At 44.0% G+C, this 15,863-nt stretch overlaps 1 protein-coding gene across 1 annotated transcript in view, besides 2 other annotated features; it reads right to left on the bottom strand.

Moving 5' to 3' along the window:
* Positions 1-15,863, bottom strand: part of MTG1 (mitochondrial ribosome associated GTPase 1) — a 28,364-nt gene that overhangs the window by 6,794 nt on the left and 5,707 nt on the right. Inside the window, exons 7-9 of the mRNA NM_138384.4 lie at positions 14,137-14,198; positions 13,482-13,578; positions 12,954-13,035 (exon numbers count right to left, since the gene is read on the bottom strand). Coding sequence (NP_612393.2) covers positions 12,954-13,035; positions 13,482-13,578; positions 14,137-14,198 — 241 coding nt within the window. The remainder of the gene's footprint in view (positions 1-12,953; positions 13,036-13,481; positions 13,579-14,136; positions 14,199-15,863) is intronic.
* Positions 14,205-14,494: an enhancer, noted in NCBI's record as "active region_4251". NCBI's record gives its function as "activates an Ori minimal core promoter by ATAC-STARR-seq in GM12878 lymphoblastoid cells {active_cell/tissue: GM12878}" and the evidence as "EXISTENCE:reporter gene assay evidence [ECO:0000049][PMID:35858748]".
* Positions 14,745-14,804: an enhancer, noted in NCBI's record as "active region_4250". NCBI's record gives its function as "activates an Ori minimal core promoter by ATAC-STARR-seq in GM12878 lymphoblastoid cells {active_cell/tissue: GM12878}" and the evidence as "EXISTENCE:reporter gene assay evidence [ECO:0000049][PMID:35858748]".

Raw genomic sequence — 15,863 nt, 5'->3', positions numbered from 1 at the left:
AAATCTCAATGAACTACAAGCACAAGGAACACATAGAAAACCATACCAAGGTCCATCGTAATCAAGTTGCTCAAAAGCACTGAGAGAGAAAATCCTGGAAGCAGCAGAGGAACAAACACACACGACCACAGACGGCTCATCAGACACCACGCAGGTGAAAAAGGGAGACCAACCCCTCTCAAGCACTAAAACAAACAAACATGACCGCAGACGGCTCATCAGACACCACGCAAGTGAGAAAGGGAGACCAACCCCTCTCAAGCACTAAAAAACCCCGTCAATCTGGAATTCTACACGTAGAGAAAATATCTTTCAAAACAAAGGTGAAATAAAGACATCTTCAGACAACCAAAAGCTGAAAGAATTCATCACTAGCAAACCTGCCTTACAATACATGTTAAAGGAAATCCTTCAGACAGAAGTAAAATCACACCAGAAGGAAACCTGGACCTACACAAAGAAATGAGTGCAGGACCCGTCTATGAAAAAACAGGGGCGCCCGCTCCCGCTCCCTCTCCCGCTCCCGCTCCGCTCCCTCTCCCTCTCCACGGTCTCCCTCTCCCTCTCTTTCCACGGTCTCCCTCTGATGCCGAGCCGAAGCTGGACTGTACTGCCGCCATCTCTGCTCACTGCAACCTCCCTGCCTGATTCTCCTGCCTCAGCCTGCCGAGTGCCTCCAATTGCAGGCGCGCGCCACCACGCCTGACTGGTTTTCGTATTTTTTTGGTGGAGATGGGGTTTCGCTGTGTTGGCCGGGCTGGTCTCCAGCTCCTAACCACAAGTGATCCGCCAGCCTCGGCCTCCCGAGGTGCAGGGATTGCAGACGGAGTCTCGTTCACTCAGTGCTCAATGGTGCCCAGGCTGGAGTGCAGTGGTGTGATCTCGGCTCGCTACAACCTCCACCTCCCAGCCGCCTGCCTTGGCCTCCCAAAGTGCCGAGATTGCAGCCTCTGCCCGGCCGCCACCCCATCTGGGAAGCGAGGAGCGTCTCTGCCTGGCCGCCCATTGTCTGGGATGTGAGGAGCCCCTCTGCCTGGCCGCCCATCGTCTGGGATGTGAGGAGCCCCTCTGCCTGGCTGCCCAGTCTGGGAAGTGATGAGCGCCTCTTCCCGGCCGCCATCCCATCTAGGAAGTGAGGAGTGTCTCTGCCCCGCCGCCCATCGTCTGAGATGTGGGGAGCGCCTCTGCCCGGCCGCGACCCCGTCTGGGATGTGAGGAGCCCCTCCGCCCAGCAGCCACCCCGTCTGGGAAGTGAGGAGCCCCTCTGCCCGGCCACCACCCCGTCTGGGAGTTGTACCCAACAGCTCATTGAGAACAGGCCATGATGACAATGGCGGTTTTGTGGAATAGAGAAGGGGGAAAGGTGGGGAAAAGATTGAGAAATCGGATGGTTGCCGTGTCTGTGTAGAAAGAAGTAGACATGGGAGACTTTTCATTTTGTTCTGTACTAAGAAAAATTCTTCTGCCTTGGGATCCTGTTGATCTGTGACCTTACCCCCAACCCTGTGCTCTCTGAAACATGTGCTGTGTCCACTCAGGGTTAAATGGATTAAGGGCAGTGCAAGATGTGCTTTGTTAAACAGATGCTTGAAGGCAGCATGCTCGTTAAGAGTCATCACCACTCCCTAATCTCAAGTACCCAGGGACACAAACACTGCGGAAGGTCGCAGGGTCCTCTGCCTAGGAAAACCAGAGACCTTCGTTCACTTGTTTATCTGCTGACCTTCCCTCCACTATTGTCCTGTGACCCTGCCAAATCCCCCTCTGCGAGAAACACCCAAGAATGATCAATAAAAAAAAAAAAAAAAGAAAAGAAAACACAAAGAAATGAGAAGGTGTGGATGGTAAACTGATGGGAAAATATATACAACTTTTTTTCTGGTATTTTATATTTCTTTAAAAGATAACTGTATGAAGGAAAGAAAGTATATCTGGAGGTTATAAAATATGTAAAGGTAAAATATATCATGATGATGATGGCACAAGAATCAGGATAAGAAAAACAGAAATGCATTATTGTAAGGTCATCACTTAAAGACATACTATACACCCTAAAGCAACCTCTCCCAAAAGTTGTAGACAATAAGCTAACAAAGAAGATACAGTAGAATCGTTTAAAAATATTCAATCCTAAAGAGGCAAGAGAGAGGAAAAAAGAAAACAAAAATTGAGACAAATGGGCCGGGCACGGTGGCTCACATCTGAAATCCCAGCACTTTGGGAGGCACGTGGATCACTTGAGGTCAGGAGTTCAAGACCAGCCTGGCCAACATGGCGAAACTCCCATCTCTACTAAAAACACACAAAAAAATTAGCCAGGCGCAGTGGCTCACACCTGTAATCCCAGCACTTTGGGAGGCCGACATGGGTGGATCACCTGAGATTAGGAGTTCAAGACCAGCCTGGCCAACATGGTGAAACCCCATCTCTACTAAAAATACAAAAACAATTAGCTGGGCATGGTGGCAGGCGCCTGTAATCCCAGCTACTCAGGAGACTGAGGCATGAAAATCATTTGAACCCAGGAGGCGGAGGTTGCAGTGAGACAACATTGTACCTCTGCACTCCAGCCTGAGAAACAGAGTGAGACTCTGTCTCAAAAAAACAAAAGTGGTGGCTATATTAATATCAGACAAGAAAGATTTCAGAGCAGAGAATATTCTGAAGGATAAAAAAAGATCATTTCCTAATGATAAAGGCATCAAATCATCAAGAGGACATAACAATCTCCTGAGCGTTTCTGTACCTAACAGCAGAGCTTCGAAATACACGAAGCCAAAACTGACTGAACAGCAAGAAGAAACAGAAATTCAGTTACAGTGGGAAATTTCAGTGCCCCTCTCACAATAATTGGTAGTACAAATAGAAAATTACCAAAGTAGAAATAAAAAAATAAACATCGAATGGAAATCAATGACATAAAAAACAAAGACAACAGAAAGTCAATGAAACCAGAAGCTGATTCTTTGGGAAAAATCAATAAAATTAATAAGCCTCTAGCCAGACTGTTCTCTTCAACCTGATAAAGGGCATCTAAGAAACACCCATACCTAATACTGCACTCAATGGTAAGAGACTAAAAGCTTCCTACCTTAGATCAGGAACAAAAAAAGATGTCTGTTCTCACCACATCTCAAATACTAAAAAAACCTGTCAATTGTATTGAAGACTGTAGCCAGTGCAATAAAGCAAGAAAACAAAATATGGCATCTGGACTGGAAAAGAAAAAGTAAGATGATCTTTATTTGCAAATGACATAATTGTCTAGGTAAAAAATCTAACTGGAATCTACAAAGAGCTAATAGAATGAATAAATGAGTTTAGCAGGGTTACAAGATACAAGATCAATATACAAAAATCAATTCTACTTCTGTATACTAGCAATGAAAAATCAAAAGTGAACATAAAAACAATACCATTTACAATAGTATCAAAAATAGCGAAGAGTTAATAGAGGGAATGACATCACCAAATAGAGAAGTAGAAGCAATCTGGCTTCCCTCACCCTCTCAAAGAAAACCAAAACCAAACATCCAGTGCCAAGAATATCACCAGCAATATTCCAGAACTCAAATCTGAGGATGAGACCAGAGAAGTGAAAAAAACTCCAGGCAGAAAGTAAGCTGCAAAAAACCTCTAAGCAAACATCCAAGAAAAAAAAAGCCAGACAGGAAAGCCTGGATAACAAATCCTTCAATGCAAAACCACAGACATATGTGCACAAGAAACAACAGCTAACGGAAAACCGCGACCTTCTCAAACAGACAAAGCAAAGAGCCAGTGGCCAACCCTAATGAGATGGCAACGTGTAAGCGCTCAAATCAAGAATTCAAGGTAACAGTTAAAAAAAAACTCAGCAAACTCCAATAAAACACAGAAAAACAACTCACAAATTTGTCAGACAAATTTAACAGAGATTGAAATTAAAAAAAAAAAATCAAACAGAAATCCTGGAAGTAAAAAATACATTTGCTGAAAAATATATTAGAGGCTCTCAACAGCAGAATGGACCAAGCAGAGGAAAAAATCAGTGAGCCTGAAGACTGGCTATTTGAAAACATATAGAAGAGGAAAGAGAAAAAAGAAGAATGAAAAGGAATGAAGAACACATGCAAGATACAGAAAACTGCCTCAGAGGAGCAAACCTAGGAATTACTGGGGTTCAAGAAGGAACCGAGCAAGAGGAAGGCACAGAAAGTTTATTCAAAGAAATAATTACAGAAAAATTTTCAAACCCTCAGAAAGACATAAATGTCCAGGTACAGGGAGGTCAGAGATCACCAAACAGATTTAACCCAAATAAAACTACCCTACAGAATATAATAATCAAACTCTCAAAAGTCAAGGACAAAGAAAGAATCCTACAAGCAGTAAGTAGTACAAGTAGTAAGAGAAAAGCAGCAAATATATTTATAAAAGAGCTCCAATGTAACTGGCAACAGACTTCTCCAGGAAATCCATATAGGCCAGGAGGCAATGGGATGATATATTCAAAGTGCTGAAGGAAAAAAAAATGCAACTGTCAACTGAGGACACACCTTCAAACATGAAAGAGTAAAGCTGAGGGAATTCATCAGACCCAACTTTCAAGAAATGCTAAAAAAAAGTTCTTCAATCTGAAAGAAAAAGACACTAATGTACAAAAAGAAAACATGTGAAGTATAAAACCCACTGGCAAAAGTAAACACACAGACTCAGAATAATACTGTGAATGTGGTGTGCATTCATTCACATCTCTAGTGTGAAGACTAAAAGAAAAATGTATCAAAAATAATAACTACAGCAACCTGGAAAGAGAGAGCCAATATAAAAAAAAATAAATTGAAATAAGAAAACGTGAAAATTTGGGGGAAAGATGCAGTTAAAGTACAGAATTCTTCAGTTTCTCCTTTGTTTCTATTCTTTCCTCTGTGATCACAGATAAGGTGTCATGTGTTTAAAATGATTGTTTTTTAAGAGAGGGGTCTCACTCTGTCACCCAGGCTGAAGTGCGATGGCACGATCATAGCTCACTGCAGCCTCAAACTCCTGGGCTCCAGCAATCCTCCTATCTCAGCCTCCTGAGTACCTAGGGTACAGTCACAGAGCACCACGCCCAGCTAAAATAACTAAATAACTTGTTATAAATATAAAATGCTTTTTGTAAGCCTGATGGTACACTACATATAATACATAGACTAAAAATACAAAGCAACAAATTAAAACATACCAACAGAGAAAATCTCTTAACCACATGCGAAGGAAGACAGTAAAAAAGGAAGAGAGGAGTTACAATCAGAAAACAAGCAACAAAATGGCAATATTAAGTCTTTATCCATAATAATATTGAAAGCAAATGTACTATATTCTCCAACTAAAAGACATAGAGTAGGCCAGGCACAGTGGCTCACATTTGTAATCCCAGCGCTTTGGGAGGCCAATGTGGAAAGATCATCTGAGGCCAAGAGTTCAAGACCAGCCTCAGCAACATAGCAAGACCTCGCCTCTACAAAAAATAAATAAATAAATAAATAAAACAGCCAGGTGTGGTGGCACACGCCTGTAGTCCTAACTATCAGGAGGCTGCGGTGGGAAGACTGCTTGAGCCCAGGAGTTCAAGGCTACAGTGAGCTATGATCACACCACTGCACACCAGCCTGGGCAACAGAGTGAGACCCTGTCTCAAAAACAAGCAAAAAACACAGAGTGGCTAAATGGATAAAAAACAAGATCAAACTATATGCTACCTATAAGAAACCGACTTTACCTATAAAGACATACGCAGACTGAAAGTCAAAGGGTGGAAAAACATATTCCATGTAAACAGAAACCAAAAAAAAAAAAAAAGAGCAGGAATAGCTATACTTACAGATGACAGAACAGACTAAAAGTCAAAGACTGTATAAAGAGCAGGAGCAGCAATACTTACACAAAATAGACTACAGGTCAGACTGTAAAAAGACACAGAGAAAGTCACTATACGATTGATAAAGGGGTCAATTCAGCAAGCAGATATAACAATTATAAATATCTATGCACCCAACACCAGAGCACCCAGATATATAAAGCAAACATTGATAGATTGAAAGTGAGAGGCAGAGTGCAATACAGTAATAGTAGGGGGCTTCAACACCCCCTCTCCGTAGGGTGTTTCCAGCCAGAAATCAACAGAAACACTGGAGTGAAACTACATGCTAGATCAAACAGGTCTAACTGACATTTACAGAACATTTCACCCAACTGCTGCAAAACACACATTCTTCTCATCGGCACATGGAACATTCTACAGAATATACCATATGTTAGGCCACAGAACAAGTTTCAACAAATCAAAATCTTATTGAGTATCTTTTCTGACTCGATGAAATAAAACAAGAAAGCAGTAACAAGAGGAACCTCAAAAACTACACAAACACATGGAAATTAAACAACACGCTCCTGAATGATCAATGGGTTAATAAAGAAATTAATAAGAAAAATTTTAAATTTCTTCAAACAAACGGAAATGGAAACACCATATATCAAAGTCTATGGGATTCAGCAAAAGTGTTGCTAAGACGGAAGTTTATAGCAACAAACACCTACGCTAAAAAAAGCAGAAGACTCCAAATAACCTAACCATGAACCTCAAGGCACCAGAAAAGTGAGAGCAAACCAAATCCAAAATTAGTAGAAGAAGAGAAATAACAGAGATCAGGAGACCAGAGCAGAAATAAATGAAATTGAGTTGAAAAAAAAAATACCAAAGATCAATGAAACAAAAAATTATTTCAAAAACATAAACAAAATCCACAAACATTTAGCTAGAATTTTAAAAAGATCAAAATAAATAAAATCAGTAAACAAAAAAGGAGACATTACAACCAATACCACAGAAATACAAGGGATCATTAGGGACTACTACGAACAACTACACAGCAACGAACTGGAAAACCCAGACGAAAGGGATGAATTCCTGGATACAAACACCCTGCAAGACTGAGCCATGAAGAAATGGAAAAACTTGAACAGATCGATAATAAGTAACAAGATCAAAGCAGTAATAAAACGTCTTTCATCAAAGAAAATCCCAGGTCCTGATGGCTTCACTGCTGAACTATCAACAGTTAAGGAAGAACTAGTATCAACTGTACTCAAACTATTCAAAAAAACTGAAGGGGGGAACACTTCCAAAGTCACTGTATATGGCATTATCCTCCTACAAAAACCAGACAAGGATACGGCAGAAAAAGAAAACGACAGGCCAATATCCCTGATGAACACAGATGCAGAAATCCTCAACAAATGACCAGCAACCCAAATTCAACAACATGTTACAAAGATCATTCACCACGATCAAGTGGGATGTGTCTCAAGGTTGCAAGGATGGTTTAACATATGCACATCAATAAACATATAACATTAAACAGAACCAAGGAAAAAAAACAATCATTTCAACAAATGCTGAAAAAGCATTCAATAAAATTCAGCATCGCTTCACGATAAAAGCTCTCAGCAAACTGAGTATAGAAGGAACACACCTCAAAACAATAAAGGCCACGCATGACAAGCCCACAGCCAACAGTATATTGAACAAGGAAAAACAGCTTTTCTCCAAGATCTGGAACAACACACAGATGCCCATTTCTACCACTTTTATTCAACAGAATACTGGAAGTCCTACCCAGAACAATTAGGCAAGAGAAAGAAATAACAGTCACCCAAATTGGAGAGGAAGAAGTCAAAATTATCCTTATTCACAGATGACAATCTTATATTGGGAAAAACTGAAAGACTCCACCAAAAAACTATTAGAACTGATAAAAAGGTTTCAGTAAAGTTGCAGAATTCAAAACCAACATAAAAAAATCAGCAGCAGGTAATCGGAAAAAGAAATCAGGCCAGGCACGGTGGCTCACGCCTGTAATCCCAGCACTTTGGGAGGTCAAGGCAGGCGGATTACCTGAGGTCAAGAGTTCGAGACCAGCCTGACCAACGTGGAGAAACCCCATCTCTACTAAAATTATAAAAAATGAGCCAGGCGTGGTGGCACACGCCTGTAATCCCAGCTACTTGGGAGGCTGAGGCAGGAGAATCGCTTGAACCCAGGAAGCGGAGGTTGCGGTGAGCCAAGATCATGCCATTGCACTCCAGACTGGGCAACAAGACCGAAACTCCATCTCAAAAAAAAAAAAAAGAAATCAAGAAAATCCCATTTATAATAGTTACAAAAATATAAAATACCTAGGAATACATCTGACCAAAGAAGTGGAAGATCTCTACAAGGAAAACTATAAAACACTGATAAAAGAAATTGAAGAGGACACATAAAAAATGGAAAGATATTCCATGCTTATCAGTCAGAAGAATACTGTTAAAATGTCACCACCCAAAGCAATTTACAGATTTAATGCAATCGTTATCAAAATAGCAATGACACTCTGCAAAGAAATAGAAAAACAATCCTAAAATTTGTATGGCACCACTAAAGGCCCCAAACAGCCAAAGCAAACCTGAAGCAAAAAGAACAAAGCTAGAGGCATCACACTACCTGACTTCAAAATATTCGTAGTAACCAAAAACAGCACGCTACTGGCATAAAACACATACACAGAACAGTGGAACAGACCAGAGAACCCAGAAATACATCCACACATTTACAGCCAACTCATTTTCGACAAAAGTGCCAAGAACATACACTGGGGAAAGGACAGTCTCTCCCATAAAAGGGTGCTGGTTAAACTGGATAACCACAGGCAGAATGAAACTAGACCCCATCTCTCACAATATACAAAACCAAATCAAAAGGGATTAAAGACTTAAATCTGGCCGGGTGCGGTGGCTATTACAGGCCAAGGCAGGTGGATCACGAGGTCAGGAGTTCAAGACCAGCCTGGCCAAGATGGTGAAACCCCATCTCTACTAAAAATACAAAACTTAGCCAGGTATGGTGGCGGGCACCTGTAGTCCCAGCTACTTGGGAGGCTGAGGCAGAGAACTGCTTGAACCCAGGAAGCAGGGGTTGCAGCGAGCCGAGATCGTGCCACTGCACTCCAGCCTGGGTGACACAGTGAGACTCCTTCTCAAAAAAAAAAAAAAAAAAGACTTAAATCTAAGACCTGAAACTTCAAAACTGCTAGAAGAAAACGTAAGGGAAACGCTTCTGGAAATTGGTCTGGGCCAGATTTTTTTTGTATAAGACCTCAAAAGCACAGGCAACAAAAGCAAAAATAATAATAATAATAATAGGCAAATGTAAAAAAATTTACATCAAGCTGAAAAGCTTCTGCACAGCAAAGGAAACAATCAGCAAGCCAGGCATGGTGGTACGTGCCTATAATCCCAGCTACTTGGGAGGCTGAGGCAGGAGGATCTCTTGAGCCCAAGAGTTCGAGGCTGCAGTGAGCTGTGATCGCACCACTGCACTCAGCCTGGACGGCACGGCAAGACCCGAAGCAAGAAACGAAACTATCAAAGCACTGACAAGATAATCTACAGAATAGGAGAAAATATCTGCAAACTACTCAACAAGGAATTAATAACCAGATTATATAAGCAATTCAACTCAACAGCAAAAAAAACCACATAACTATTTAAAAATGGACAGAAGATCTGAATAATTATTTCTCAAAAGAAGACATACAAATGGCCAACAAGTGTATGAAAAAATGCTCAACATGACTAATCACCAGAGAAATGCAAATCAAAACCACAATGAGATTTCATCTCACCCTAGTTAAAATGGCTTTTATTAAAAAACACAGAGAATAGCAGATGCTGTTGAGGATGTAGAGAAAGGGGAGCTGTCGTACACTGTTGGTGGGAATGTAAGTTAGTACAGCTACTATGGAAAACAGTATGGAGGTTCTTCAAAACACTACAAATAGAACTGCCATAGGATCCAGCAATCCCACTACTGGGTATAGACCCAAAAGAATGGAAATCAATATACTGAAGAAATACTGCACTCCCATGCTCACGGCAGCACTACTCACAATAGCCAAGATATGCAATCTACCTAAGTGTCCATCAAAGGATGATGGATACAGAAAATGTGGTACATAAAACACAATGAAATATTAGCCATAACAAAGGACGAAATCTTGTCATTTGCAGTAATACAAACAGAACTGGAGATCATTCTGTTAAGTGAAATAAACAGGCACAGAAAGACAAATAATGCATGTTCTAACTCAAATGTGGGAGCTAAAAACGTGGACTTCATTAAGACAGAGAGCAGACTGGTGATTACCAGAGGTGAGGGGAAGAGGGGATGGACAGAGGTTGATTAATGAATAGTTCGGTAGAGTGACTTCAGTTAACAGGAATCTACAGGATATTTCAAATACCAGAAGAGAGCAATTCAAATGTTTCCAGCATGAAGATAAATGTTTGGGATGATGGATATCCCAATTACCCTGATCTGATCATTACACATTGTATGAATGCATCAAAATATCATAGGTACCCTGAAAACATCTACTTTGTATCAAAAGATAAATCTTAGCATTAAAAGTTTAAAAAAGAGTTCAATATAAATCTTACAAAACACTGTAAACTACAAAACACTGCAAAGAAAAACTAAAGACCTAAATAAATGAAGAGATACACTATATTCACGGGTCAGAGACTCAGTGTTACAATATTGTCAATTCTTCCCCAGACTGACCTATAAATTCAGGGGAATCTGCCACCCGGCCTCAAGAAACATAGGGATTTTTGTAGAAACTGACAAAGTGACTGAAAAATGCATGAGAATACAAAGAACCAGGAAAAGACAAAGCAATTTTGACAAAGAAGAGTGGGGGCTACCAGCACTGCCTGATTTCAAATCTCATATTAAATTAGAAGCAGTTACCAAGACGGTCGGTCACACAGAAAAGTGACACAGTTAGAGTCCACAAACAGACCCACGTATATGGACAACCGATTTGCGACAAAGATGCAAAGACAATTCAGTGGAGAAAAGACAGTCTTTGCAACAAATGTTTCCGGAACAACTGGTTCTCCATGTGCAAAAAAAAAAGAACTTCAATCTGCAGCTTGTACCATATACCAAAAAATCAGAAAGGATCATAGCCCTAAATGTAAAACCTAAAACCATCTATCTTCAATGAGGAAACCCTTGTGACCCTGGTTTAAGCAAAGATTTCTTAGATATGACAACAAGAGTACTCTGGAAAAGATCTAGCTGATAAACTGGACTGCATGAAAATTAACAATTCTACTCCTCGGAAAACACTGTTAAGAGGGCTGAAAAGACAAGGCACAGACTTAAAGTATTTACAAACCGTATCTCTGATTAAGGACTTGTATCCAGAATATATTAGAAAAAGGTTACAGGCTGGGCATGGTGCCTCATGCCTATAATCCTAATGCTTTGGGAGGCTGAGGCGGGCAGATCCCTTGAGCCCAGGAGTTCAAGACCAGCCTGGGCAACATGGGGAAACCCTGTCTCTACAAAAAATACAAAAATCAGCTATGTGTGGTGGCACACGCCTGTAGTCTCAGCTACTTGGGAGGCTGAAGTGGGAGGATCGCTTGAGCCCAGGAGGTCAGGCTGCAGTGAGCTGAGACTGTACCACTGCACTTCAGCCTGGGTAACTGAGACCCTGTCTCAAAAAAAAAAAAAAAAAAAAGATTAAAACTTAGCAATAAGGAAAGAAACAACTCAGTTAAAAAAAAAAAAAGGGAAAAGGATTTGAACAGACATTTCCCCAGAGAGGGATGACAAATAAGCACATGAAGATGCTCAACGTCCCTGTCATCAGGGAAATGCAAATTGAAATGCTATGCGACACCCCTACACGCCCGCCCATCAGACAGGCCAAAGTTAAAGACTGATCTTAGAGAAACTGAAGGACTCATTCCCTGCTTGCCAGCATATAAAACAGTGTAACTACCTTGGAAAACAATGTGGCGGTTTCTTAAAAACTCAAACATATGCCTCCCCTATGATCCAGCCACTCTACTCCTAGGTATTAACCCAAGGGAAACGAAAGCCCGGATCTACACAAAGACCTGTCGGTACATGAATGTTCACAGCAGCTTTATCTGCAATAGCCAAAACCTGCAAACAACCCACATATCCATCAACGGGTGAAGGGACAGACTGCAGCGCACCTGGACACTGAAACCGCCTGGCAACAAAAAGGATGAATGACGGACAACACACGACGACACACGGGGATCACACAACAATCGTGCCGAGTGACAGATCAACAAGAATGCACATCCTGTGTGATTCCATCTACGTGGAATTCTAGAAAACCCAAAGCAACCTACAGGGACAGTAGACGGCTGCCTGGGCTCAGGGAGGGGCAGGAAGGTGTGATCACGAAGGAGCACAGGGACTGGGGGTGACGGGAACGCTCATTTCCTTGATTTCACGAAGGAGGAGCAGGGACTGGGGGTGACGGGAACGCTCATTTCCTTGATTTCACGAAGGAGGAGCAGGGACTGGGGGTGACGGGAACGCTCGTTTCCTTGATTTCACGAAGGAGGAGCAGGGACTGGGGGTGACGGGAACGCTCGTTTCCTTGATTTCACGAAGGAGGAGCAGGGACTGGGGGTGACGGGAACGCTCGTTTCCTTGATTTCACGAAGGAGGAGCAGGGACTGGGGGTGACGGGAACGCTCGTTTCCTTGATTTCACGAAGGAGGAGCAGGGACTGGGGGTGACGGGAACGCTCGTTTCCTTGATTTCACGAAGGAGGAGCAGGGATGGGGGGTGACGGGAACGCTCGTTTCCTTGATTTCACGAAAGAGGAGCAGGGACTGGGGGTGACGGGAACGCTCGTTTTCTTGATTGTGTGTTGCTTTCACAGACGTATAGCCATACTCCCGAACTTGTCCAACTGGACGCTTTAAACGATGTGCAGGTTACCGTGTTTATAATACCTTTATAATGCTGGGGGTTTTTTTGTTTGTTTTTTTTTTTTAAATGAGGTGACTAGGAGGAGGGGCCCCAGCTGCCCTGCATTCACTGCACTCACCCAAAGCGCTGGTGTTTGTTGAGGGTGTACAGCAGGTAGTCAGCCATGGTCTCCTCCCCGACCAGGTGGTCCAGCACCGTTCCTGTGGAAGCAGCAGCCGAGGTGAGCACTGGAAACAGCCACATCTATGTTCCTGCCAAGTTCAAACACATCCCTTCCAGTCCTAGCCCAAAGACACCGTGCCGTGAGGAAGAGGCCAGCCACTGACAAAGACACTAACCAAGAGGACGGCACTCGGCTGTGGTCCCGGCCCCCACTCCTGCCTGGCACCTGCGACCAACCTCTCTGCCCTGGTCCGTCAAATGGGGAAAGGGAAGGCCACTCATGGGGCAGGGTGGAATGGTGACCAGTGCCTGTCAGCTGTGCACTATTACAGCTCTCACACTAAGCTTCGAGGAAGGTCTGGCAGCAACCAGGTCAAAGGCAGTAACAACTCCCGTCTAGGGGCCCTGTGCCAAAGCCAGCCCTAAAGGTGGGGTGGCAGGGGCCCCGGTCCCAGCCCCAGCCCCAGCCCCAGCCCCGGCTCACCACACAGGGCCAGCTTCAGGCCTGTCTCCACACTTTCAATCCGAGGAGCCAGCACGCCAGGAGTGTCCAACAGGAACATCAGGGGCCGCTCAGAGACCTGTGTGGGCACAGAGGGCATGATCAGGCCGCGGTGGCAGCCTCCCACCCAGGTGGGCCACTCAGGAAGCCTGGGCAGCCCCTGGCACCCAATGCTCCGAGGAAGGCCTCAGGGACCCAACCCCATGGCAGCGTCACTCTCACCAAGCTCCAGGGTTCCCCAGAGGATCTAATTCCCACTTAATTTGGAGAATAAATAAAAGCGTCAGGTCCCAACAGCTTGTCTTCTGCTCCCAAGGAGAACACAAGGAAGGGAGTGGAGGGTGGGGCGGGGGGCGCCACACTCAGGTCTGTCCTGACCACTGCATGGCCCTGGACAGTGGCCTCCTCATCTGGAAATGGGGAAAACAGCGTGCCTTCCCCAAAGGTTTGGCGCAAAGACTATGACGACTGTGGAATAAGGGCAGGGGCAGTGCCTGCCCCGGGGGTGCTCAGCGGGGACACTGAGTGGAGGGGAGGGAAGCGTGGTCAGCAGCCGGAAGCCACACAGAGGTCGGCAGGTGCCAGACGCCTGCAGAGCTCTTGACAGAGTGCTGGGCCTGGCCCCTGAGGACTCCACCTGAATTTTGGACATCACAGCTCTGGTGATCCCAGGCTCGCCACCCACCCTGGTGGCTTTCCCTGTAGGAAAAGGAGAAAAGGAGGCTCAAATGTATACTAAACACAGAAGCTGCAGAACAAGTAGGGAGACGTATGTAACAAACACATCTGACCAGCCAAGCAGGGAGACTATGTAACAAACACAACTTACCAGCCAAGCAGGGAGACTATGTAACAAACATATCTGGCCAAAATGGAAACTAAAAGCCAGATGAGCTTCCCAAGGCTATAATTTGTTTCACTTTCAGTCACAAACCAGCTCACAGCAAGGGCACTTTCCAAGCCACACAGAGACTGAGATTCTTCAACAAATGCACCAGAACCTAACTCCCCAGGACTGGAAAGGCACTGTCAGACTGCGGAGGTCAGACCTGAGCTGCTCCTTCCACGCAGTCCCCCACCTCCCTCCTGGACCCACCCCTGCACCCCAAGGTCAGCCTGCCTCCCACAGCACTGTCCACAGGCGACTGGCTGCTCTAGGACCCAGCTCAGGGTGTGTCCCAAGGAGGCCACTCCACTGTGGACAAACAACCCAAGAATAAAAAACACAAGTGTCCATCCAGATGAATGGACAAGACAGGATGTGGTCTGTACACACAACGGGGTGATCAGCCTTAAAAAGGAATAAAATTCTGACACTCAGGACAACACAGACGAACCTTGAGGACATCACGATCGGTGACATCAGCCAGTCACAAAAGGCCAAGTACTGTGAGTCCACTTGGAGGAGGCAGTTACAGTCATCGAATTCACAGACAGAAAGTGGAACGAGGGGTGTAGGAGGCTGGGGGAGTGACTCTTTGTATTTACAGAGTTTCATTTTCAGGTAACCAAAATATTTGAAAATAGTGGTGCTGGCTGCATAACCCTATAAATGCACTTAATACCACTGATAAAAAATAATACGCTTAAAAATAAACTTAAAAGAATAAATGACTGTAACAATGCTCCAATTAGCACCAAAAACACCCTCTCTGTAAAATAACAGTTCACCGTAGTTTAAAGCCTTCAGATTTGCACATCATGAATGGGTTTGTTAATAAATGCCTTATTAATATGAAAAATGAAGCCAACAAGGACTTGAATTAAACTTGAAAATACTTAAGGAAAAGAGCCCACGGGGCAGTGAAGGGTGCTCGGGGCTCCTGCTTTGAATCAGAGTCTGAGAACAGGCACAGAGGGAGGAAAGGAGCGCCTGCGACTCCGGAGTCCAGGAACCCTCCAGCAAAGGCAAGGCGGACGCCATGGAGGAATGGCCTTGCAGCCTCCCTGCCTGATAATCCAGCCCCGTCTACTTCACACGCTTTGTATTCTCTGGATCAAAGGGATTTTTTTTCTTTTCTTTTCTTTTTTTTTTTGAGACGGAGTCTCGCTCTGTCGCCCAGGCTGGAACGCAGTGGCACAATCTCAACTCACTGCAAGCTCCGCCTCCCGGGTTCACGCCATTCTCCTGCCTCAGCCTCCTAAGTGGCTGGGACTACAGGTGCCCGCCACCACACCCACCTAATTTTTCGTATTTTTAGTAGAGACGGGGTTTCACCGTTTCAGCAAGAATGGTCTCAATCTCCTGACCTCATGATCCGCCCGCCTCGGCCTCTCAAAGTGCTGGGATTACAGGCGTGAGCCATGCACCCGGCCAAAGGGATTTAAATAAATGAACAAATATCAAAGTTTAGAAAAGCCATC

This window comes from Homo sapiens, chromosome 10, assembly GCF_000001405.40.
Source record: "Homo sapiens chromosome 10, GRCh38.p14 Primary Assembly".
In the NCBI taxonomy this organism is placed as follows: Eukaryota; Metazoa; Chordata; class Mammalia; order Primates; family Hominidae; genus Homo; species Homo sapiens.
Note: the sequence above shows the minus strand (reverse complement) of the source record. Positions and strands in the feature narration are given on the sequence as shown.